The sequence below is a fragment of the Homo sapiens genome, chromosome 1 (genome assembly GCF_000001405.40).
Source record: "Homo sapiens chromosome 1, GRCh38.p14 Primary Assembly".
Classification (NCBI taxonomy): domain Eukaryota; kingdom Metazoa; phylum Chordata; class Mammalia; order Primates; family Hominidae; genus Homo; species Homo sapiens.
In genome coordinates this window covers 68865781-68892376 of record NC_000001.11, presented here as the reverse complement: position 1 = coordinate 68892376, position 26596 = coordinate 68865781, and the positions used below count along the sequence as shown (strand labels likewise).

General features: G+C 38.5%; 1 annotated feature.

Annotated features, from left to right (window-relative positions):
- Positions 10228-10863: an enhancer, noted in NCBI's record as "OCT4-NANOG-H3K27ac-H3K4me1 hESC enhancer chr1:69347197-69347832 (GRCh37/hg19 assembly coordinates)". NCBI's record gives its function as "activates a minimal SCP1, AML or CMV promoter by ChIP-STARR-seq in primed H9 embryonic stem cells {active_cell/tissue: H9 hESC(primed)}" and the evidence as "EXISTENCE:reporter gene assay evidence [ECO:0000049][PMID:30033119]".

The following is a 26596-nucleotide window of genomic DNA, read 5'->3' as shown; positions in this document are numbered from 1 at the left end:
GTGTGGATCACGAGGTCAGGAGTTTGAGACCAGCCTGGCCAACATAGTGAAACCCGTCTCTACTAAAAATACAAAAAATTACCTGGGTATGGTGGTGAGCGTCTGTAATCCCAGTATGGGCAGCTGAGGCAGGAGAATCGCTTGAACCCAGGAGGCAGAGATTGCAGTGAGCCTAGATCACTCCACTGCACTCAGGAACTCTTCCTTAGGATGAGGTGGTTGTTGTTTTGTTTTAATTATCTTTCTTGGAGTGAGGGAGTTCCTGAGGCTTCCAATATGCTTTCCCTCCTAGAATAACTATTACCCCATAGGCCAAGGATTAATGTGGCCTTTTAAGATGATCTAAAAACTTATTGTCTACAATATAAGCTCTCTTTTTATGGTTTTTTCAAATATGCCTTCCAAGAAATAATTTTCAACAATGAAAATTCTACTGGTTAACAAATATTTTAAAATGTGAAAATGTACTCTTACTAATAATCACTTCACCAGTGATGACAAGAGTATGGTAAAATGGGCACTTTTGTGTTGCTGTTTCTGGAGTTGCTATGTTGACACAGGACAATTTGCAACATATGTCAAGAATTTCAAAAATGTTCCCACCTTTTGAACTGAACTTCCCAATTCTAATAATGTATCCTAAGGTAAAAAATAATAAATATAATTATACTTAAGAACATATGGATTTCAGTATTTGTTGAAATATTACTTCCATATTTTCATTACTTAAACAAGTACAGACTAAGAAATACGTGATTCTAATAAAACAAAAAATAGAAAATATAGATTGGGGGAGGTATGTAAAGTTACATTGCCAAAATCTCATTCGCCAGAAATAATCATTGTTAACATTTTCTGGCTGATTCTTCCAGTTGTTTTCCAAGTGATCAGAAACACAAATACATGCAAAAAATAGATTACCATAAAATAATGTTTTATTTAATAATGTTTTTTCCCATTTACAAATAATAATTCTCTTCAATTCTGTAATACCATAATATATAAATGTACATCATTTTACTTAGGAACCACATGGCTTTCTATTATGAGACCATGCCAATATGTTTTTTAACAATCTAGCATTGCTAGACATTTAGGTTGCTTTCCACTGTTCATGGTTTATGTACAACACGGAGATGAATATCTGTCTGTACATACCTATGGATACTTCTTTAATTGCATGCTTAGAATAAATACAAGGAATTCAATTTCTTTTTTCTTTCTTTTTTTTATTTTTATCTCAATTTTTTTGAGACAGGGTCTTGTTCTGTCACCAGGCTGGAGTGCAGTGGCACGATCATGGCTCACTGCAGCCTCAACCTCCTAGGGTCAAGCAATCCTCCCGCTTCAGCCTCCTGAGTAGCTAGGACTACATAAGTGCACCACCAGACCCAACTAATTTTGAAATTTTTCTTTTGTGGAGACAGGGTTCGCTATGCTGACCAGACTGGTTTCCAACTCCTGGCCTCAAGCAACCCTTTCATCTTAGGCTCCCAGAGTGCTAGGATTATAGGTGTGAGTCACTGTGCCTGGCCCAATTTCTTTAAAGTACCCAATATTTAGGGTCTTTGATATATATATTGTTAAAGTATCTTGTAGGGAAGTTATATCAACTCCATGAGTGCTTGGAAATACCTATTTCCCCACAGTTCTGACAGCACAAGATGTTACTAGTGTTTAGATAAAACAACATATTTTAAGTATATGTCTTTTGTTACTATAACATGTGAACATTTTAAATGTTTGTCATATTTTCTGTAGTGTATCATCTATGCATCAAGCTTAGACCATTTTTGTCTTTTTTCATATTTTTAATTATTGATTTCTAAGAGCTTTTTAGATAGTTTGGTTTGTCATATTTCCTTCAACATTATGTTTGTATGTATCCATAATTAAAAGCAGCTTTTAAATTCTGTGCATTTAAATATACTAAATATTTTCTTTGTGACTTCTGCTTTGTTTCTCAGAAATTCCCTTCTATACCAAGATTATATAATAATTCACCCTTATATTCTGCTAGCCCTTTTAGATACCATTTTAAATATTAAATGATCAATCCATCTGGAATTTATTTAGAAAAAAGTTAAGAAGGGTAATCTAATTTGTGCTTATTTTGGGGTGATGGTGTTCAGGACATTATTTTCATTTGCCCACTACTTTGCAATACTATCTTTATCAGATTCTAAATTTGAAATAACTGGAAGTAACTTGAATATCCCATAGTAAAAGATAATTAAATCCAATTATTCAATAAAATATTGGGCTGTAATTAAATACCATGTTTACAATGAATTTTCATTACCTTTTTCTTATGCTGGAGGAAAGTAAGCAATTAAATTCTAGAAACAATAGGCTTAAAACTGTATTTTTTCATATATTCAAAAATTTACTTCTAGGGAGAAAAAGGACTCCCCAAAATATACAGAAACAATAATTACTTCTGTGTGTTAAGAACATGGCAGAATGTTCCCTGCTTCTTTTGGCCTTTCTGTATATTATAATTTTTTAGATGAGTATGTTCCTTTTGTAATGGGAAAAAAAATCTTACATTTTATTTAAAAATATGATAAGCATACCTAGTTGTATTCTCCATCTTAAGGGCAAAATATCAAGAAAACGTGAATTAAAGGGCCTGCAGTTTTCAGCAAAAGAAGGAATACAGGCATTTTGGTTATCTCTTTTACCACTATGAGAGCTTCCATGCTAACTGGCTATTTGGGAGGATGAATGAGTCAGCATTCTCCAATGCAGGTCGGCACCTCTGAATCCTCTCCCCCAAACCCCACAACCATTTATCCTAAAGGCTCCCATTTCCATTTATTATGGCAAGCTCAAATGCTTGCCCAAGGTCTGAGGGGGTCAATTTGCTGTGAAAAATCGATTAGGCATCATCGTTCCGACAGAGTACTTAAATTCCAAGGGAGCCTTAAACGAGGCTTATACAGAATTGTTCACAAGGTGGCTTTTAAGGGGTATGTGCTTTGAGAAATTGTCAGTACTGGAACTTTATTGATTGATCTGAGCAACAATTCAGTGAAATTGCATAAGATACTTGTACAACTGTTAATGTAGTGAAGAAAAAGAAACACGTAACTAGGCCAGAGAGAAAATACCTCTTGAAGGGGATATAGCATTCTGTTCTACCCAGAAAATGTGAGGCAAAACCCAATGCTGTTGTGTAAATTACATTGTATAAGATGTTTTTCCTTTTCTTATTTCTCCTTAACACTCTTTCAGAGCTTACACTTTGGAGAAGCAGTGAAGTGGCTACCAAATTCTCACATTTATTCCTGGTCCTCAAATTCACCCACTTCTTCACTCCATTTGGAGAAAGAGTAACTGCCATATACTCCAACCGATGGAGATTCTCACGCTCAAGGCTCTGGCTGGGGAGACAATAGCTCAGTGATCCCAAAATAATGTTCCCTTTGCTTTTTTTATTTATTTTTTTGATACAGAGTCTCGCTCTGTTGCCCAGGCTGGAGTGCAGAGGCGCAATCTCGGCTCATTGCAATTTCTTTCTCCCAGTTCAAGCATTTCTCCTGTCTCAGCCTCCTGAGTAACTGGGACTACAGTTGCCTGCAACCAAGCCCGGCTAATTTTTTGTGTTTTTAGTAGAGATAGGGTGCCAAGTCGGGGAGACCCTAACCCAGCGGCTTTAGAAGAATTAAAGACACACACACAGAAATATAGAGGTGTTGAGTGGGAAATCAGGGGTCTCACAGCCTTCAGAGCTGAGAGCCTCGAACGGAGATTTACCCACGTATTTATTGACAGCAAGCCAGTGATAAGCATTGTTTCTATAGATTATAGATTAACTAAAAGTGTTCCTTACAGGAAACAAAGGGATGGGCCAAAGTAAAGGGATGGGCTCTGGCTAGTTACCTGCAGCAGGAGAACGTCCTTAAGGCACACGTTGCTGACGCTATTGCTTGTGGTTTAAGAATGCCTTTAAGTGGTTTTCTGCCCTGGGTGGGCCAGGTGTTCCTTGCCCTCATTCCGGTAAACCCACAACCTTCCAGTGTGGGTGTCACGGCCACCATGAACATGTCACAGTGCCGCAGAAATTTTGTTTATGACCCATTTTGGGGCCAGTTTATGACTGGATTTTGGGGGCCTATTCCCAACAATAGGGTTTCACCTTGTTGGTCAGGCTGGTCTCAAACTCCTGACCTTGGGTGATCCACCCGCCTCAGCCTCCAAAAGTGCTAGAATTACAGGCGTGAGCCACCACACCCAGCCCCCTTGCTTTTTTTCTACATGACTTATCCCATCCTAACCAGGTAGCAGGATAAGAGGATGACATTTTCAAAAAGACATATCCACAGTGATATAGAGCCCAAATTAAATTAGAGTAATAATTTTTTAAAGTACAAATCTATAAGAATTATCAATAAGTGTAAAGAAAAGCCACTGCCTATATCTGCAAGATTAGTAAAAGCAATGATTGGCTCCTAATAACAGGCCATGGAAAAGGAGAAAAAATAAGAAACATGAAATAAGTTTCTTTCTCCTGAGACTCTAACAGTCTTGAAATGAAACAAAAATCATGATGAATCTAGGTGGCCAGTGCTCATGTTGTAATGTTTGTTAAATATTTTGAATGTCACCTCTGCTTTTAATGTTGCAGAAACTGTGCAAGGTACTTTTCATACCCAAAGAAAGTATCTTATCATTTTATAAGATCTTACTATTGTCCTATTCTTGCTTAAAGACACACAGCTACTTAAGTATATAGATGGAAAAGGATTTTCAGTTAAAGATGTACACTGAATGTACATATTTACTTTCAACCCCTTCCAAAACTCCATTAAACTGACAGTAAAGAAGTTTTTAGGCATGATCACAAAGGACAGGGAGACAGGCAGAGAGGACATCAGCAGCAAACTCATAAAGTCTAAAAAACAAATAAATGAGAGGTCAATATTTGGGAGATTTGAAAATACTAAACCATAGGCTGATGGGGTGAAAGTTAAAAACCAAATCAATTTGAGGCTGCAGAATTCCCAGTAGGTTCAGGAATTGGTAACATCAGTACTCTGAAAGAGGGAATGAATAGGGCTAAAATTACAAAGATTAGTTGAATATCTGTGTAGGAATCAACTATAAAAATCAGATTATGTCCACGCACGGTAGCTCATGCCTGTAATCCCAGCACTTTGGGGGGCTGAGGTGGGTAGATTGCTTAAGTCTGGAAGTTTCAGACCAGGCTGGGCAACATGACAAAACTCCATCTCTATAAAAAACACAAAAATTAACTAGGCATGGAGGCACATGCCTGTAGTCCCAGTTGTTCGGGAGGCTAAAGTGGGAGGATCACTTGAGCCCAGGAAGCAGTTTGCAGTGAGCCAAGATTGCTCCACTGCACTTCAGCCTGGACAACAGAGTGAGACTCTGTCTCAAAAATAAAAAAAGATCAGACAGTACTCCATACAATCCATACAATCAGGTAATTTCTTCTTCCTTCCTCTGGCAAGAATCAGAAGATTTATTTTCTGAAAATGTAAAAACAGTCTTTGTGATGTGGCTCACCAAATAGAATTGAGACTTGATACATTGCATTGAATAAAGGAAGTGCATTTGGATGCTGAAATCCTGAGCATTTTTCCCCACTGTGCTTCCAAACTTCTGGCAACCAGTCCTTGACCATCTAGGCAGGAAATTAGTAGCAACCTCCCTGAGAATCCGCTGAGCCTAAGAGAAAAGTCTTAACAATATTAACATTGATGTATCATCAACTGCATGACCCAGCCAGGTCAATTTAGTGAAAGTCACAGTCAATAATGCCTATCAGCACATTTAGAGCCTTCAATTAGTATTTTCAGTCATGGATGATCAGATGTCTAATAGTTCATATAGTAAGGGAAATACTGTTACATGAAGTTCTAATCCCCAATGATGTGCAAATGTGTATTTCTCTCTCTCCTGCCCTATCTTTTCATGTGTGTGTGTGTATGAATGAGATGTGTAGTGGGTACAGAAATAAAAAATACTTTTAACTTTACAGTCAAATGTGTTTAAAAGTCCATGCTGTAATTTCATTGATAATAACCACCAAGAAATTGATTGTAAAATCCTGGAAAAATCAGAGTCTATGCAGGTAGAAGAAAACTAAAATGAATTATGAATGAAAGACCCTTACTATATTCAGGAAAACTATAATTATATTAATGAAGTACATTACACACAAAAAAGGAACACTTTTAATACCCAAAATAGTCCTTGGAAGTTAAGCAGAAGCATCAAGATTCAATAGCAATTTAGAACTTCATAAAACGGGAGGAAGGAAATATAGAAGAAATTTCCCAGAAAGCAAAGCAAAATAATTAAACTTTATTGATCACAACTTTAGATGTGTTGTCATTCAATCCTCACAACAATCCATAAGCTGAAAAGACTGAACTTTATAGCTGAAGAGACTGAAGGACAGAATGTTTAAATAACTTCCAAGTGTTCACACAGGTAATAAGTGGTAGACTCATGACCTGAAACCAATTTAATGCAATCCTCTTTTGCAGCCCCAAATTATATTACTCTTTCTGTTCTGCTCCTGATTTTTTCTTTCTATTAATATACTTTTAAAAAGTGTTTTGTGACTGCTTCAAATCTTTTTCAGATGTAGATGGGCTATAAATGCATTCGGTAAGTAAATACACTGAGCTAAGCACCATATGAGACAATGAAGAACAAATGAATAAGCCACTATTTCAGTTTTTACTTGCATGCTTACTTCTCTCACTGTATCTAATTCTTAAAGAAAATAACTTATTTTGATCATCCGAAGCTCACTATACAACTTTTTGGACATAGTAGATGCTCAGAAAATTATTTTAAATCAGTTGAATATTCCAACGAGATAAAATCTGAGATTTTAACCCAGAAAAGATTAGTTGTTACATCATTTCCTTCCTCCTAAAACCAGCAAACCTCATCCTCAAACATCCTCAAAGCCCCCGATGTCTCTTTGGTGCCTCCTGACTATGCAGAGCTCAGACCTCTTATTCCCTTGCCACACACACACACACACACACACACACACAGAGATGGCTTTTGGAAAGCCCAACAATAGTGGTCTCCTCATCTAAGCACCAGAGATGAATGTGTGCCCATTAAGTCCTGGCTCCCAGACACACAGTTTAGTCCCAGTTGGATTCTGTGCTACATCTTCACGTGAGAGACTTCTACTTCTTACTTGCCCTCAAGAACTCTACTCATTCAGGCCCACCTCCCTGGCCAACTACCACTCCTACTTAATTGAACTTGGCAGGTGGCTAGTTAGTCCCCTGAATTAAAACTTTATGTATTTTTCCCATATGATTGTCATCCTCCTGGGACTCTTCCTGTAGATGGAGGGGCTGCAGTTCCATTATGAATATTTTCTTATTTTTATGGAACACTGGTTGCAAAAATAAAGTGGTAAGGTGGTGATTTGCTCAAAATGCAGGCTTTAAAAGGCCACTCCAACAAAAGCCCTGGGGGAGAATTGAAGACTGCTCTGCCAGGATCTGGTGCAAGCTACTTATCTTCATATGACTCAGTTTCCCTTCCTTAAATAAGGCAGTTGGACTAAAAGCATGATTATATACTTCATACTTCATGCTTCAGAGCCCTAGGGTTTCACCATGGTACCTCAGGGACCATCCAAAGTAGAGGGCTGAAGGAGGCTGAGAAAGTAAGGCTTAGTGGCTTCCATCCCTGCATCAATGTGAGAAATTCTGTTAACAATTTGTGTAAGATTTTATCTGCCAGAAGAAAGTTCTGCTGCAAAAGAAAGCAAAACGAGAAATATCAGATTCCATGATCTCTAAGATCCTTACTAGTTCTTTCAATGATTCTATAATATGTCCCTGGACATAGTATTCATAGCATTTTAAAATTGTCCTTATTTGGAAAAAACAAAACAGAACTTATTTAGCTTGTGTATTAGTCTGTTTTCATGCTGCTGATAAAAATATACCTGAGACTGGGAAATTTGCAAAAGAAAGAAGTTTAATTGGATTTGCAGTTTCATGTGGCTGGGGAAGCCTCACAATCATGGTGGAAGGCAAGGAAGAGCAAGTCATATCTTACGTGGATGGCGGCAGGCAAAAGAGGGAACTTGTGCAGGGGAACTCCTCTTCCTAAAACCATCAGGTCTCATGAGACTTATTCACTATCACAAGAACCACATAGGAAAGACTTGTCCCCATGATTCAATCACCTCCCACTGGGTCCCTCCCATAACATGTGGGAATTCAAGATGAGATTTGGGTGGGGACACAGCCAAACCATATTAACCTGTCATAATATTTTTCTCTCCCTTTCTTCTCCCCCCCTCTCTCTCTCTGTCTCTCTCTCTCTCATTCCCTTGTGTCTTAGGTGACCCATCTTAGCATCAGAGCCTATTCAATTGATGTCCTCAAATGAGTGCTGCTAACCTGAGTATCCAAACAGTTATTTCAATTTATGGTTGCATATCCTGACTAATATATAATTCCTTAACTACAGAAAAAGTGTGTTTCAATTTGAGATTATAAGCTAAAGCAGTGTTCATTGCAAATGATTGAAAATGCAACAGGGAAGAAAGAGAAAAAAAGAAAGCAAGAGAAGTACTAGAAAGTGAGAGATGGAGGAAGTTAGCCTTACTGAGCACCTACATTGTGCAGATCTGTGCCTTATTAGAACTTCTTACCATAACCTTACACGTTAGGAAACTGTAAGTCAACAAGATTAAGTAAATTTCCCTAAGTTCCACAACATGCAACGAAAACGTTCAGGATTTGAATCCAACTTTGGAACACTGTTCAGCCCACATTCTTTCTTCTCCTTACCTCAGTTTATATGTTACTAATAAGCACCACACATTCCAAGCCAAATGGCTTCACTGTGACCCTGCTGGTTGCCTTTTATGAAGATATTTATAAAAATGTTTATTCAGGGTTACCCATTGGCTCCGCTTCTTTCACACAGCTGTCAGTTTTCTATCTCAAGCATTCATGTGCTCTTAATAAGAAATCTCCAGTCTCTCTCACGATTTACCAGAACCTGTGTTCTTCCCACTCTCAATTATAACTCCAGCTCTCAACTCCCTCCTGAGTCTTTGTCAGGAGGTTGCCACCTGAGTGTCTTAAGACATGTATGTCACATTCAATGAATTTGAATGAAACCTCGTTATCTCTTCCCAAATTTCCCCAAACCAGCTTCTCTGCCATTCCCCATCTCAGTTAACAGAAAACCATTCACCAAGGCAGAAACAAAAAATCAGCTTTGACTCTTGCCTTCTCCAGTCTTTATATCCAGCCACCATCAGTTTCCAGCCAAGTGACCTCCTCTCTGTCTCTTTTTTCTTCATATCCTCAATTCTATAGGTTGGTGGAGGTAAATTCCTTTCTCTCAGCATATGATAGCATCCAGCTCCTTTTCTCTCTTTTTTTTTTTTTCGTTTAGTTCACTTTCTAAAAGCAAAATTGATTATATTCGATCCTTGTTTAAAACCTTTCAAATTAACCATCCACTACTTGAAACTCTCTCCCCCATTAGCCTTCAGGTGACACAATATTTCCGGTTTCAACTTCTATGGCAACTTTTCTTTACTTATTCATTGGCTTTATTTATTTCCCCCCTTAATCGTTCTCTTCTTTTTTTTTTTTTTTTAGAATTTTCCCCCTTTGTTCTTTACTCTGCTTATATATCTTCTCCTTTTGCAATGCTGCAACTACCATCCATATGTTGATAACACCTACATCTCTATCTACACCCCTGATATCTCACCAAGGCTCTAAATCCATATTTCTTTCTACCTACTGAGCTCATGATTTTTCTCATAAAACCCATTCTTTTGGGTGATCATTCTCTCTCCACAATGCCACAAGTTATCAACTCCCCAAGCATAAAGAAAACATTAACCCTCCTCCTCTTACAGTCCCAGAAAGAAACTAGACATCTACTACATTCAAATGTCCCTTAGGAAAGCCTGTAAATTCTGACTCTTTTTCTCATCCTTTCTGTAATTGTCTCTGTCCAGATCTTTACCTTTTCTCCTGATATATGGAAACTACTTCTCTGAATATTCCCTTTTACTTCTATTTATCTAATCTACCGATTCCAAAATTATCTCCTTTAAAAACACCGGCATAGCTCAGCGATAAGCAAGTGTGGTTCAAAACCACCACAATAAAGCAAATATTGCAATAAAATGAGTCCAGCGCAGTTTTTAGTTTCCCAGGGCATTTAAAAGTTATGTTTACACTATGCCATTGTCCACTGAGTGTGCAATAGCACTATGTCTAAATAACAATGTACATGCCTTAATTTAAAACTTTATTGCAAAAAAAATGCTAACAATCATCAGAGCCTTCAGCAAGCTGTAATCTATAGCTGATGCTGGGTCTTACCTCAGTGTTGATGTCTGCTGGACTGATCAGCGTGGTGGCTGCTGAAGGTTGAGGTGGCTGTCATAATTTCTTAAAATTAAACAACAAAAATTTTTCTACAACTATTGACTCTTCCTTTCATAAAAGTTTTCTCTGTAGCGTGTTATGCTGTTTGACAACATTTTAGCCACAGTATAATTTATTTCAAAATTGGAGTTCGGAGGAGCCAAGATGGCCGAATGGGAACAGCTCCAGTCTACAGCTCCCAGCGTGAGCGACGCAGAAGACGGGTGATTTCTGCATTTCCATCTGAGGTACCGGGTTCATCTCACTAGGGAGTGCCAGACAGTGAGCGCAGGTCAGTGGGTGTGCGCACCGTGCACGAGCCAAAGCAGGGCGAGGCATTGCCTCACTTGGGAAGCGCAAGGGGTCAGGGAGTTCCCTTTCTGAGTCAAAGAAAGGGGTGAGGGACGACACCTGGAAAATCGGGTCACTCCCACACGAATACTGCGCTTTTCAGATGGGCTTAAAAAACGGCGCACCAAGAGATTATATCCGGCATCTGGCTTGGAGGGTCCTACGCCCAGGGAGTCTCGCTGATTGCTAGCACAGCAGTCTGAGATCAAACTGCAAGGCGGCAGCGAGGCTGGGGGAGGGGCGCCCGCCATTGCCCAGGCTTGATTAGGTAAACAAAGCAGCCTGGAAGCTCGAACTGGGTGGAGCCCACCACAGCTCAAGGAGGCCTGCCTGCCTCTGTAGGCTCCACCTCTGGGGGCAGGGCACAGACAAACAAAAAGACAGCAGTAACCTCTGCAGACTTAAGTGTCCCTGTCTGACAGCTTTGAAGAGAGCAGTGGTTCTCCCAGCACGCAGCTGGAGATCTGAGAACGGGCAGACTGCCTCCTCAAGTGGGTCCCTGACCCCTGACCCCCGAGCAGCCTAACTGGGAGGCACCCCCCAGCAGGGGCACACTGACACCTCACAAGGCAGGGTATTCCAACAGACCTGCAGCTGAGGGTCCTGTCTGTTAGAAGGAAAACTAACAAACAGAAAGGACATCCACACCAAAAGCCCACCTGTACATCACCATCATCAAAGACCAAAAGTAGATAAAACCACAAAGATGGGGAAAAAACAGAATAGAAAAACTGGAAACTCTAAACAGCAGAGCGCCTCTCCTCCTCCAAAGGAACACAGTTCCTCACCAGCAACGGAACAAAGCTGGATGGAGAATGACTTCGAGGAGCTGAAAGAAGACGGCTTCAGACGATCAAATTACTCTGAGCTACAGGAGGACATTCAAACCAAAGGCAAAGAAGTTGAAAACTTTGAAAAAAAATTTAGAAGAATGTATAACTAGAATAACCAATACAGAGAAGTGCTTAAAGGAGCTGATGGAGCTGAAAACCAAGGCTCCAGAACTACGTGAAGAATGCAGAAGCCTCAGGAGCTGATGCGATCAACTGGAAGAAAGGGTATCAGCGATGGAAGATGAAATGAATGAAATGAAGCGAGAAGGGAAGTTTAGAGAAAAAAGAATAAAAAGAAATGAGCAAAGCCTCCAAGAAATATGGGACTATATGAAAAGACCAAATCTACGTCTGATTGGTGTACCTGAAAGTGATGGGGAGAATGGAACCAAGTTGGAAAACACTCTGCAGGATATTATCCAGGAGAACTTCCCCAATCTAGCAAGGCAGGCCAACGTTCAGATTCAGGAAATACAGAGAACGCCACAAAGATACTCCTCGAGAAGAGCAACTCCAAGACACATAATTGTCAGATTCACCAAAGTTGAAATGAAGGAAAAATGTTAAGGGCAGCCAGAGAGAAAGGTCGGGTTACCCCCAAAGGGAAGCCCATCAGACTAACAGCAGATCTCTCAGCAGAAACCCTACAAGCCAGAAGAGAGTGGGGGCCAATATTCAACATTCTTAAAGAAAAGAATTTTCAACCCAGAATTTCATATCCAGCCAAACTAATCTTCATAAGTGAAGGAGAAATAAAATACTTTACAGACAAGCAAATGCTGGGAGATTTTGTCACCACCAGGCCTGCCTTACAAGAGCTCCTGAAGGAAGCACTAACCATGGAAAGGAACAACCGGTACCAGCCGCTGCAAAATTATGCCAAAATGTAAAGACCATCCAGACTAGGAAGAAACTGCATCAACTAACGAGCAAAATAACCAGCTAACATCATAATGACAGGATCAAATTCACACATAACAATATTAACTTTAAATGTAAATGGACTAAATGCTCCAATTAAAAGACAGACTGGCAAATTGGATAAAGAGTCAAGACCCATCAGTGTGCTGTATTCAGGAAACCCATCTCACGTGCAGAGACACACATAGGCTCAAAATAAAAGGATGGAGGAAGATCTACCAAGCCAATGGAAAACAAAAAAAGGCAGGGGTTGCAATCCTAGTCTCTGATAAAACAGACTTTAAACCAACAAAGACCAAAAGAGACAAAGAAGGCCATTACATAATGGTAAAGGGATCAATTCAACAAGAAGAGCTAACTATCCTAAATATATATGCACCCAATACAGGAGCACCAAGATTCATAAAGCAAGTCCTGAGTGACCTACAAAGAGACTTAGACTCCCACACATTAATAATGGGAGACTTTAACACCCCACTGTCAACATTAGACAGATCAATGAGACAGAAAGTCAACAAGGATACCCAGGAATTGAACTCAGCTCTGCACCAAGCGGACCTATTAGACATCTACAGAACTCTCCACCCCAAATCAACAGAATATACATTTTTTTCAGCACCACACCACACCTATTCCAAAATTGACCACATACTTGGAAGTAAAGCACTCCTCAGCAAATGTAAAAGAACAGAAATTATAACAAACTATCTCTCAGACCACAGTGCAATCAAACTAGAACTCAGGATTAAGAATCTCACTCAAAACCGCTCAACTACATGGAAACTGAACAACCTCCTCCTGAATGACTACTGGGTACATAACGAAATGAAGGCAGAAATAAAGATGTTCTTTGAAACCAACGAGAACAAAGACACAACATACCAGAATCTCTGGGATGCATTCAAAGCAGTGTGTAGAGGGAAATTTATAGCACTAAATGCCCACAAGAGAAAGCAGGAAAGATCCAAAATTGACACCCTAACATCACAATTAAAAGAACTAGAAAAGCAAGAGCAAACACATTCAAAAGCTAGCAGAAGGCAAGAAATAACTAAAATCAGAGCAGAACTGAAGGAAATAGAGACACAAAAAACCCTTCAAAAAATTAATGAATCCAGGAGCTGGTTTTTTGAAAGGATCAACAAAATTGATAGACTGCTAGCAAGACTAATAAAGAAAAAAAGGAGAAGAATCAAATAGATGCAATAAAAAATGATAAAGGGGATATAACCACCGATCCCACAGAAATACAAACTACCATCAGAGAATACTACAAACACCTCTACGCAAATAAACTGGAAAATCTAGAAGAAATGGATAAATTCCTGGACACATACACTCTCCCAAGACTAAACCAGGAAGAAGTTGAATCTCTGAATAGACCAATAACAGGAGCTGAAATTGTGGCAATAATCAATAGCTTACCAATCAAAAAGAGTCCAGGACCAGATGGATTCACAGCCGAATTCTACCAGAGGTACAAGGAGGAACTGGTACCATTCCTTCTGAAACTATTCCAATCAATAGAAAAAGAGGGAATCCTCCCTAACTCATTTTATAAGAACAGGATCATTCTGATACCAAAGCCGGGCAGAGACACAACAAAAAAAGAGAATTATAGACCAATATCCTTGATGAACATTGATGCAAAAATCCTCAATAAAATACTGGCAAAACGAATCCAGCAGCACATCCAAAAGCTTATCCACCATGATCAAGTGGGCTTCATCCCTGGGATGCAAGGCTGGTTCAATATACGCAAATCAATAAATGTAATCCAGCATATAAACAGAGCCAAAGACAAAAATCACATGATTATCTCAATAGATGCAGAAAAAGCCTTTGACAAAATTCAACCGCCCTTCATGCTAAAAACTCTCAATAAATTAGGTATTGATGGGACGTATTTCAAAATAATGAGAGCTATCTATGACAAACCCACAGCCAATATCATACTGAATGGGCAAAAACTGGAAGCATTCCCTTTGAAAACTGGCACAAGACAGGGATGCCCTCTCTCACCACTCCTATTCAACATAGTGTTGGAAGTTCTGGCCAGGGCAATTAGGCAGGGGAAGGAAATAAAGGGTATTCAATCAGGAAAAGAGGAAGTCAAATTGTCCCTGTTTGCAGATGACATTATTTTATATCTAGAAAACCCCATTGTCTCAGCCCAAAATCTCCTTAAGCTGATAAGCAACTTCAGCAAAGTCTCAGGATACAAAATCAATGTACAAAAATCACAAGCATTCTTATACACCAACAACAGACAAACAGAGAGCCAAATCATGAGTGAACTCCCATTCACAATTGCTCCAAAGAGAACAAAATACCTAGGAATCCAACTTACAAGGGATATGAAGGACCTCTTCAAGGAGAACTACAAACCACTGCTCAAGGAAATAAAAGAGGATACAAACAAATGGAAGAACATTCCATGCTCATGGATAAGAAGAATCAATATCATGAAAATGGCCATACTGCCCAAGGTAATTTACAGATTCAATGCCATCCCCATCAAGCTACCAATGACTTTCTTCACAGAATTGGAAAAAACTACTTTAAAGTTCATATGGAACCAAAAAAGAGCCCGCATCGCCAAGTCAATCCTAAGCCAAAAGAACAAAGCTGGAGGCATCACACTACCTGACTTCAAACTATACTACAAGGCTACAGTAAACAAAACAGCATGGTACTGGTACCAAAACAGAGATATAGATCAATGGAACAGAAAAGAGCCCTCAGAAATAACGCCGCATATCTACAACTATCTGATCTTGACAAACCTGAGAAAAACAAGCAATGGGGAAAGGATTCCCTATTTAATAAATGGTGCTGGGAAAACTGGCTAGCCATATGTAGAAAGCTGAAACTGGATCCTCCCTTACACCTTATACAAAAATTAATTCAAGATGGATTAAAGACTTAAATGTTAGACCTAAAACCATAAAAACCCTAGAAGAAAACCTAGGCATTACCATTCAGGACATAGGCATGGGCAAGGACTTCATGTCTAAAACACCAAAAGCAATGGCAACAAAAGACAAAATTGACAAATGGGATCTAATTAAACTAAAGAGCTTCTGCACAGCAAAAGAAACTACCATCAGAGTGAACAGGCAACCTATAAAATGGGAGAAAATTTTTGCAACCTACTCATCTGACAAAGGGCTAATATCCAGAATCTACAATGAACTCAAACAAATTTACAAGAAAAAAACAAACAACCCCATCAAAAAGTGGGCGAAGGAAATGAACAGACACTTCTCAAAAGAAGACATTTATGCAGCCAAAAAACACATGAAAAAATGCTCATCATCACTGGCCATCAGAGAAATGCAAATCAAAACCACAATGAGATACCATCTCACACCAGTTAGAATGGCAATCATTAAAAAGTCAGGAAACAACAGATGCTGGAGAGGATGTGGAGAAATAGGAACACTTTTACACTGTTGGTGGGACTGTAAACTAGGTCAACCATTGTGGAAGTCAGTGTGGCGATTCCTCAGGGATCTAGAACTAGAAATACCATTTGACCCAGCCATCCCATTACTGGGTATATACCCAAAGGACTATAAATCATGCTACTATAAAGACACATGCACACGTATGTTTATTGCGGCATTATTCACAATAGCAAAGACTTGGAACCAAGCCAAATGTCCAACAATGATAGACTGGATTAAGAAAATGTGGCACATATACACCATAGAATACTATGCAGCCATAAAAAATGATGAGTTCATGTCCTTTGTAGGGACATGGATGAAATTGGAAATCATCATTCTCCGTAAACTATCGCAAGAACAGGAAACCAAAAACCATGTATTCTCACTCATAGGTGGGAATTGAACAATGAGATCACATGGACACAGGAAGGGGAATATGACACTCTGGGGGCTGTTGTGGGGTGGGGGAAGGGGGGAGGGATTGCATCAGGAGATATACCTAATGCTAGATGATGAGTTAATGGGTGCAGCGCACCAGCATGGCACATGTATACATATGTAACTAACCTGCACAATGTGCACATGTACCCTAAAACTTAAAGTATAATAATTTAAAAAAAAAAAATGAAGAAAATGCTCATGGCATATAGGCATGGAAATGCCGAATTCTCCCAGGATATGCTAGCAAAGACTTTGCAAAGGAGGTGGCCTTATCTTAAAATATGAGGGTAAATTCATGAAGCAGAAGGGTAGGATAGGATACATGCTGGAGAAACAATGTGTAACTGTATAAAGGTATTGGGACATAAAAAGTAAAGGAGAATTTTGGAAATGGAAAAAAAAAACAAAATTGGAGTTCATCTTCTCAAACCCTCCTGCTGTTTTATTAATTAGGTTTATGTATTACTCCAAATACTTTGTTGTCATTCTGACAATGTTCATATCATTTTCACCAAGAGTGGATTCTATCTCAAAAAACTATTTTCTTTGATCATCCATAAAAAATAATTCCTGACCCATTCAAATTTTATCATGCAATTGAAGCAATTCACTTACATCTTCAGGCTCCACTTCTCATTATAGGTCTCTTGCTATTTCTACCACATTTACAGGTACTTCCTCTAATGAAGTATTTAACTCTTCAAAGTCATTTATGAGGTTTACAGTCAATTTCTTCCAAACTCCTGTTAATGTTGATATTTTGACCTTCTCTCATGAATCACAAATGTTTTTAATGGCATCGAGAATGGTGAATTTTTTCCAGAAGATTTTATATCTACTTTACCCAGATCAATTAGAGTCACTACCTATGACAGCTATAACTTTAAGAAATATATTTCTGAAATCATAAAACTCCTGATCTATGGCCTGCAGAATGGATGTTATGTTAGCAGGCATGAAAATGACATCACGTCCTGTACATCTTTATCAGAGCTCTTGGGTGATCAGTGTCATTGTCAGTGAGCAGTAATATTTGGAAAGGAATCCTTTATTTCTGAGCAGTAGGTCTCAACAGTGGGCTTAAAATACTCAGTAAACCATGCATCAAAGAGATGTGCTGTCATCCAAACTTTGTTTTTCTATCTATACAGCACAGGTGGAGAAGATTTAACATAATTATTAAGGACCCTAGTATTTTGAGAATGGTAAATGGGCATTGGATTCAACTTAAAGTCACCAGTTGAATTCACCCCTAGCAAGAGGGGTCAGCCTGTACTTTGAAGCTTCGAAGCCAAGCATTGATTTCTCTTCTTTAACTACCTAAGTGCTCAGTGGCATCTTCTTCCAATAGGAGGCTCTTTTGTCTGCATTGAAAATCCATTGTTTAGTTTAACCAGTTGTATCAATGTTCTTGGCTAGATCTTCTTGATAAGTTGCTGCAACTTCTCCATCAGCACTTGCTGCTTCATCTTGAAGTTTTACATTATGAAGATGGCTTATTTCCTTAAACCTCATGAACGAACTTTTGCTAGCTTCCAGAGTTTCTTGTCACATCCTCACCTCTCTCAGCCTTCATAGAATTAAAGAGCATGCGTCTCTGAATTAGGCTTTGGCTTAAGGGAATGTTGTGGCTGGTGTGATTTTCTATTTATACCACTCAAACTTCCTCCATATTGGCAATAAGGCTATTTTGCTTTCTTATCATTTATGTGTTCACTGAATTAGCACTTTTAATTTCCCTCAAGAACTTTCCCTTTGCATTCATAACTTGGTTGTTTGACACAAGAGGCCGAGCCTTTGGCCTATGTGGTCTTTAGACATGTCTGTCACACTAAGTATAATCATTTATGATTTTTGATTAAATGTGAGACATGTGGGAAAGTTCCTTTCACTTAAACACTTAGAGACCATTGTAACATTATTAATTTGCCCAATTTCAATACTGTTGTTTCTCAGAGAATAAGGAGGCCTGAGGAGAAGGAATGAGATGAAGAACAGTCATCAGAGCAGACAAAACACACACTACCTTTGTTGATTAAGTTTGCCATCTTTTATGGGTGCAGTCCAGGGTGTCCCAAACCATTACAATAACAACATCAAAGATCACTAATCACAGATCATAACAGTTAATTTTTAATAACCAAATATTACAAGGTTTGAAATATTGTGAGAGTTACCAAAATATAACACAGAGACACAAAGTGAGCACATGCCATTGGAAAAATGGTGCCAGTATACTTGTTCCTTGATGAGTTGCCACAATATTCAATTTATAAAAAATATCTGCAAAGCACAATATAATGAAGTACAATAAAAAGAGGTATAACTGAAATTACTAAGAGTCAAAATTCTGTCCTTGAGAACCTGAGTGATTATAAATTTGAAAATAAGCATTCAATTATGTTATGTTTTCTCTACTTATTAAGGCAAGGTAATGGTTACTAAATTTTAATTTAAAAATTCAATTAACTAGATGCTCCGAGCTTTCCAGTTGACAGATATTTTATTGGATGTGACTTACATAAAGTTACAAGGCATATGTAGCCATCACTGGCAGCAGTAAAAGTGAGTCACGTAGTGACCCAAACCACTGAATACTGATTTCTTGAAGGGCAGTGTAGTGAATTGATTACAATCAGGGTTTCTGGACTCAGCTGGCTAGTGGTTGTATTCTGTTTTTTCTACTTGCTGACAACAGGACTGGTGCATATAGCTTTAGTAAGCCCCAGTATTTTTATTTTGAAAGGGAGGATAACATCCCTGCTTACAAGGTTACTGTAAGAATTAAGTGCAATATTTCATGTAAACACCTAAAACAGTACCTAGTACTCAAAGCATACTCAATAAATGATAGCTTTTTCTATCTTAACAAAGTAAATCATTCCTTTATCCAACCATGTCAGGTGCTGTGTTAGATTCTGAGAACAAAAATCAAGGGCTAGATTTTTTTTCTATGATATGCTAATAATCTAGTGAATACAATAAAAAATACACACTAACTTCTGCTGTACAGTTTGTTAAGAATTTGATACTACAAAACACTGGAATAATTCTTTAAAAAGGAGTTAAATAAACCCTTTAGAGGTGGTGGTGCTTAGAGGTAAAACTTTTAATTGTTCATTTAATGATTATTTGTTAAAATCTTACTATGTGACAAAACTTGTAGTAGAGGCAAAAGATATAAAATTAATAGAGATGGTTCCCAACCTTAATAACATCTCGATATAGTAAGAGAGATTGACATACAATGACACAACTTACAATATGCCATGGTGAATGTTTTGATTAAAAAATGAGTAAAATACTGCAGGGTGTTATGCTTAACTCTGGCAAGAATGTCCAGAGATGATGTAACAGTTTAGCTGTGTATAGAACTATAAGCAGGAATGTGCCTCAAAGGGAGGAAAGACTTCAAGGCAAAAGAAACAATGCCTGAAAAAGAACCATCCAAAAAAGGTTTATACAGAGGCAGATCTACCATGTAGCAGATGAAGCATAAGTTTCAGAACCTACAACTTAGATATGCATCTTCCATTTCTCCATGTGTTATTCTCCAAGGCAGTAGAAATAAACAGAAAAACAGGAGACCTGCTCCTGGTGGCAGTGCTGATACTGTAGGTGGGCTGACAGGCTTCCATTAGTACTTCTATCTATGTCTGGTTCCATCAGCAGCCTGCCCCCATTGTACCACAACAATCATCCCAACCCTACCTTAGATTTCAACAAAACAATAACATGCTGCTGTGCATCATCATGGGGCCACTACCATCTAGCTTATGGCAAACTGGTCCCTCAGATTCCCAGGATCGTGATGGTGGAACAGTATGAGAGTGGCAGGTGGTGCTGAGGCAAGCAAAGATCTCTCTGTGCTCTGCTGGACATAGGGAGAGAGAATGACTGGAGTTCTTTGTAGGCTTGTTGCTGAGCCAGAAATGCATTTGAGTAGAACCAAAAAGAAAATTACAGATGAATACTACCAAAAATTGAGTCTTGAAACTGAAAAAAATCCTTCTACTCTGTCAACAAGAAACAAACCTAGATTAACAACGCCAGAGGAAATTCAGAATAACATTGTTATTCTACAGAAAGTATTAAACATAATTGCACATGAGAAAAATGATAAAAAAATTTTACAGTCTTAAAATTTAGATAAATAGGTATTAAAAAGGTTTGTCAGGACATTAGTTAATTAAAAATGTTAATTTTCTGGATTGATTTTTATAGTTGTGGTGTTTGTTAGCTATAAAAAATTTATAATTTATCATAATTATGTGTTTATAATTTTATTTTCATAACAAGAATCCCTCACTTTACACAAACAACTGGACTCACAAAAACTAGATTCCTTCCCGATTCGCGGCAACTCAGTGTGAAGCAAGGTGACTGGCATTATTTTGCTAACAGCTAGAAATCAAAGGTGACTTATAATCCTTTGGGCACATACCCAGTAATGGAATTGCTGGGTCAAATGGTATTTCTAGTTCTAGATCCTTGAAGAATTGCCACACTGTCTTCCACAATAGTTGAACTAATTTACATTCCCACCAACAGTGTAAAAGTTTCCCTATTTCTCCACATCCTCTCCAGCACCAGTTGTTTCCTGACTTTTTAATGATCACCATTCTAACTGGCGTGAGATGGTATTTCATCGTGGCTTTGATTTTCATTTCTCTAATAACTAGTGATGATGAGCATTTTTACATACGTCTGTTGGCTGCATAAATGTCTTCTTTTGAGAATAGTCTGCTCATATCCTTTGCCCACTTTTTGATGGGATTGTTTTTTTTTTTTTTCTTGTAAATTTCTTTAAGTTCTTTGTAGATTCAGGATATTAGCCCTTTGTCAGATGGGTAGGTTGCAAAAATTTTCTCCCATTCTGTAGGTTGCCTGTTCACTCTGATAATAGTTTATTTTGCTGTGCAGAAGCTCTTTAGTTTAATTAGATCCCATTTGTCAATTTTGGCTTTTGTTGCCATTGCTTTTGGTGTCTTAGACATGAAGTCTTTGCCCATGCCTGTGTCCTTAATGGTATTGCCCAGGTTTTCTTCTAGGAATTTTATGGTCCTAGGCCTTACATTTACATCTTTAATCCATCTTGAGTTGATTTTGTATAAGATGTAAGGAAGGGGTCCAGTTTCAGTTTTCTGCATATGGCTAGCCAGTTTTCCCAACACCATTTATTAAGTAGGGAATCTTTTCCCCGTTGCTTGTTTGTGTCAGATTTGTCAAAGATCAGATGGTTGTAGATGTGTGGTGTTATTTCTGAGGGCTCTGTTCTGTTCCATTGGTCTATTTATCTGTTTTGGTACCAGTACCATGCTGTTTTGGTTACTGTAGCCTTGTAGTATAGTTTGAAGTCAGGTGGCGTGATGCCTCCAGCTTTGTTCTTCTTGCCCAGGATTGTCTTGGCTATGCAGGCTCTTTTTTGGTTCCATATGAAGTTTAAAGTAGTTTTTCCCAATTCTGTGAAGAAAGTCATTGGTAGCTTGATGGGGATAGCATTGAATCTATAATTTACTTTGGGCAGTGTGACCATTTTCACAATGTTGATTCTTCCTATCCATGAGCATGGAATGTTTTTCCATTTGTTTGTGTCCTCTCTTATTTCCTTGAGCAGTGGAACAATGAGAACACATGGACATAGGGAGGGGGACATCACACACTGGGGTCTGTCGGGTGGTGGGGGGCTAGGTAGGGGAGGGATAACATTAGGAGAAATACCTAATGTAGGTGATGGGTTGATGGGTTCAGCAAACCACCATGGCACGACCACCATGGCATGTGTATACCTATGTAACAAAACTGCACGTTCTGCACATGTACCCCAGAATTTAAAGAAAAAAAAAACCCATGAAGCAAAAAAAGAAAAAAAAGAAAAAAAGAAAATGCCAGTATGTGCAATAAGTAGGTTATTTAAATTAAAGTATCTTGAGGTGCTGACATGGCCTTTTTTTCAAGTTTCCCGAATGATTTTTATGTACAACCAGGATCAGAATCCCCACTGACCTACGTTATAGTAAATGTTAAGTTACATAAACTTAGTCTTAATCTTGCTTTCAGTCTTTCCATCCATAAAATTGGTACAATGGTAGCTTTGTATGGAAAAGTTTGAAGACTTTAATGCAGTGGTGGGTGTAAAATTGTTTAGCACATTGTCACATAGCAAATAGTGAATAAATAATAGGTATCATCATCGTTCATAGAAAAAAAAAAGAAATCAAAGGTGAATTCTTTCCCCCTGGTAATTTCCTCCTTTTCTCCATGGGATTTCTAATCAAAAGAGCTGAATAAAAGACAACAGAGAAATGTATATGTGTACAAACTCATACACACAGAAACACACATGTATAGACATAACCTTTTTTTTTTTTTTTTTTTTTTTGAGATGGTGTCTTTGTCTGTCACCCAAGCTGGAGTACAGTGGTGTGGTCTTGGCTCACTGCAACATTTATCTCCCAGGTTCAAGTGATTCTCTTGCCTCAGCCTCCTGAGTAGCTGGGATTACAGGGGTGTGCCATCATGCCCTGCTAATTTTTGTATTTTTAGTAGAAACGGGGTTTCACCATGTTGGCTAGGCTGGTCTCAAAATCCTGACCTCAAGTTATCTGCCTTCTTCGGCCTCCCAAAGTGCTGGGATTACAAGCATGAGCCACCACACCCAGCCTAGGTATAACTCATTTTATTGTGCTTCATGGATATTGGATTTTTTCACACATTGAAGGTTTGTGGCAACTCAGTGTGAAGTAAGGCGATTGGCATTATTTTGCTAACAGCATGTGCTCACATTATGTCTCTGTGTCATGTTATGGTAATTCTCACAATACTTCAAACTTTTTAATTATTATTACATCTGCTATGGTGATCTTTTATCAGTGACTTTTGATGTTATTATTGTTATTGTTTTGGGACACCCCAAACAACACCCATAAAAGACAGCAAACTTAATCAATAAATGTTGCGTGTGTTCTGCCTCCTCCTCCCACCAGCAGTTTCTTGTCTCTCTCTCTCTTCAGGCCTCATTATTGCCCGAGACACAACAATATTAAAATTAGGCCAATTAATAACTCCACAATGGCCTCTTAAATGAAAGAAAGAGTCTTATATCTCTCCCTTAAAATCAAGAGCTAGAAGTGATTAAGTGAGGAAGGCATGATGAACTGAGATAGGTCAAAAGCTAGGCCTCTTGCACCAAACATTAAGCCAAATTGTGAATGCAAAGGGAAAGTTCCTGAAGGAAATTAAAAGTACTGCTCCAGTGAACAAACAATGACAAGAAAACAAAACAGTCTTATTACTTTTATGTGGAGAAAGTTTGAGTGGTCTGAATAGATCAAACTAGCCACAACATTCCTTTAAGCCAAAACATAATCCAAAGAAAGGCCCTAACTCTTCAACTCTATGAAGGCTGAGAGAAGTGAGGAAGTGACAGGAGAAAAATTGGAAGCTAACAGAGGTTAGTTCATGAGGTTTGAGGAAAAAAGGCATCTCCATAATGTAAAACTGCAAGGTGACGCAGCAAGTGCTAATAGAGAAGCTGCAGCAGTTATCAAGATGATCTAGCTAAGAACATTGATGAAGCTGGCTAAACCAAATTACAAATTTTCAATGCAGACAAAAGAGCCTTCTATTGGAAAAATATGCCACCTAGGACTCTCAGAGCTAGAGAAGACAAACTATTGCCCAATTCAGACCTTCAAAGTACAGGCTGATCCTCTTGTTAGGGGTGAACTTAGCTGGTGACTTTAAGTTGAGGCCAATGTTCATTTGCCATTCCCAAAATGGTAGGATCCTTGAGAATTATGTTACATATTCCCTGCCTGTGTTTTAGAAATGAAACAACAAAGCTTGGATGATGGCACGTCTGCTTGCAACATGATTTACTGAATATTTTAAGCACACTGTTGAGACCTACTGCTCAGAACAAAGGATTCCTTTCCAAATATGACTGCTCATTGACGTATGTCTTGTCACCCAAGATCTCTGATGAAGATGTACAAGGAGATGAATGTTATTTCCATGCCTGCTAACACAACATCCATTCTGCAGCCCATGAATCAAGGAGTAATGCTGACTTTTCAGAAATACATTTCTTAAAGCTATAGCTGTCATAGGTAATTATTCATCTAATCAATCTGGGCAAAGTACATTGAAAACCTTCTGAAAAAATTCACCACTCTAGCCATTAAAAATATTTGTGATTCATGGGTGGAGGTCAAAATATCAACATTAGGCCAGGCATGGTGGCTCATGCCTGTAATCCCAGCACTTTAGGAGGCCAAGGCAGGTGAATTGCTTGAACTCAGGAGTTCAAGAACAGCCTGGGAAAAATAGTGAAACCCTGTGTCTACCAAAAATATTTAAAAAATTAGCCAAGTGTGGTGGCGCACATTTGTAGTCCCAGCTACTTGGGAGTCTCAGGTGAAAAAATTGCTTGAGCTCAGGGGGTGGAGGTTGCAATGAGCCAAGATCATGCAACTCTACTCCAGCCTGAGCAACAGAGTGAGGACTCATCTCAAAAAAAGAGAAAAATCAGTATTAAGGGGAGTTTGCAACAAATTGATTCCAACCGTTATGAACTGGGGAAGTCAAGACTACAGTGGAGGAACTGACTGCAGATTTATTGGACATAGCAAAAAAAAAAACTAGAATTAGAAACAGAGCCTGAAGATGTGACTGAAATGCTTCACTCTCATGATAAAACTTGAACAGAGAGAGTTGCTTCTTATTCATAAGCAAGGAAAGTGGTTTCTTGAGTTGGAATGTACTCATGTTGAAGATGCTGTGAACATTGTTGAAATGACAAGAAAGAATTTAGAATATTACATAAACTAGTTGATAAAGCAGTAGCAGAATTTGAGACAATTGACCCCAGTGTTGAAAGAAGTTCTACTTTGGCTAAAATACTATCAAACAGCAGTATGTGCTACAGAGAAACCTTTAGTGAAATGAAGAGTCAATCAATGCAGCAAACTTTACTGTTGTCTTAAAAAAATTGTCACAGCCACCCCAGCCTTCACCTACCACCACCCTAATCAGTTAGCAGCCATCAACATGGAGGCGAGACCCTCTGCTAGTATAATGGTTACAATTCACTTAAGTCTCCGATGATTGTTAGCATTTTTTTTAGCAATGAAGTATTTTTAATTCAAGTATGTACATTGGTTTTTTATACGTAATCCCATTGTACACTTAATTGAATACCATATGGTGTAAATATAACTTTTACATGCACTGCGAACCCAAAAAATTTGCCTGATTTGCTTCATTGTGATATTCACTTTATTGCAGTGTTCTAGAACCAAACTCTCAATATCTCCAAGGTAAGCTTGTATTGTTCCACACATGGTTACAGGAAAACATATTTGGATATCAGAAAACTGGTGACAGAATTAGATGCACTCAGAAGAAATGATCTAAGATGCCAAAGATTCTAAAAATTGTAACACACAAAAAGCTGCTCAAAAAGCTCTACTCACCCTCGGTATGAGAAAACTTGGGTCATTGATTAAGTTAAACATAAAATGTTAGCATCATCGGTCCACTGAACACTGCTCTTTTAGGTCTCACTTGCTCACTTACACACTCACTGCTTCATTTCATTGCCTTTTTCTCATTCTCCATTTCATGTCCTTCCCACCAAGGCAGCATTTTAATGTATTTGTCTATTTCTTAAAAAGTGTTCTATATACCCAAAGGATTATAAATCATGCTGCTATAAAGACACATGCACACGTATGTTTATTGCGGCACTATTCAGAATAGCAAAGACTTGGAACCAACCCAAATGTCCAACAATGATAGACTAGATTAAGAAAATGTGGCACATATAAACCATGGAATACCATGCAGCCATAAAAAATGATGAGTTCATGTCCTTTGTAGGGACAGGGATGAAGCTGGAAACCATCATTCTCAGCAAACTATCGCAAGGACAAAAAACCAAACACCGCATGTTCTCACTCATAGGTGGGAATTGAACAATGAGAACACATGGACACAGGAAGGGGAACATCACACACTGGGGACTGTTGTGGGGTGGGGGAAGGGGGGAGGGATAGCATTAGGAGATGTACCTAATGCTAAATGATGAGTTAATGGGTGCAGCACACCAACATGGAACATGTATACATATGTAACAAACCAGCACATTGTGCACATGTACCCTAAAACTTGAAGTATA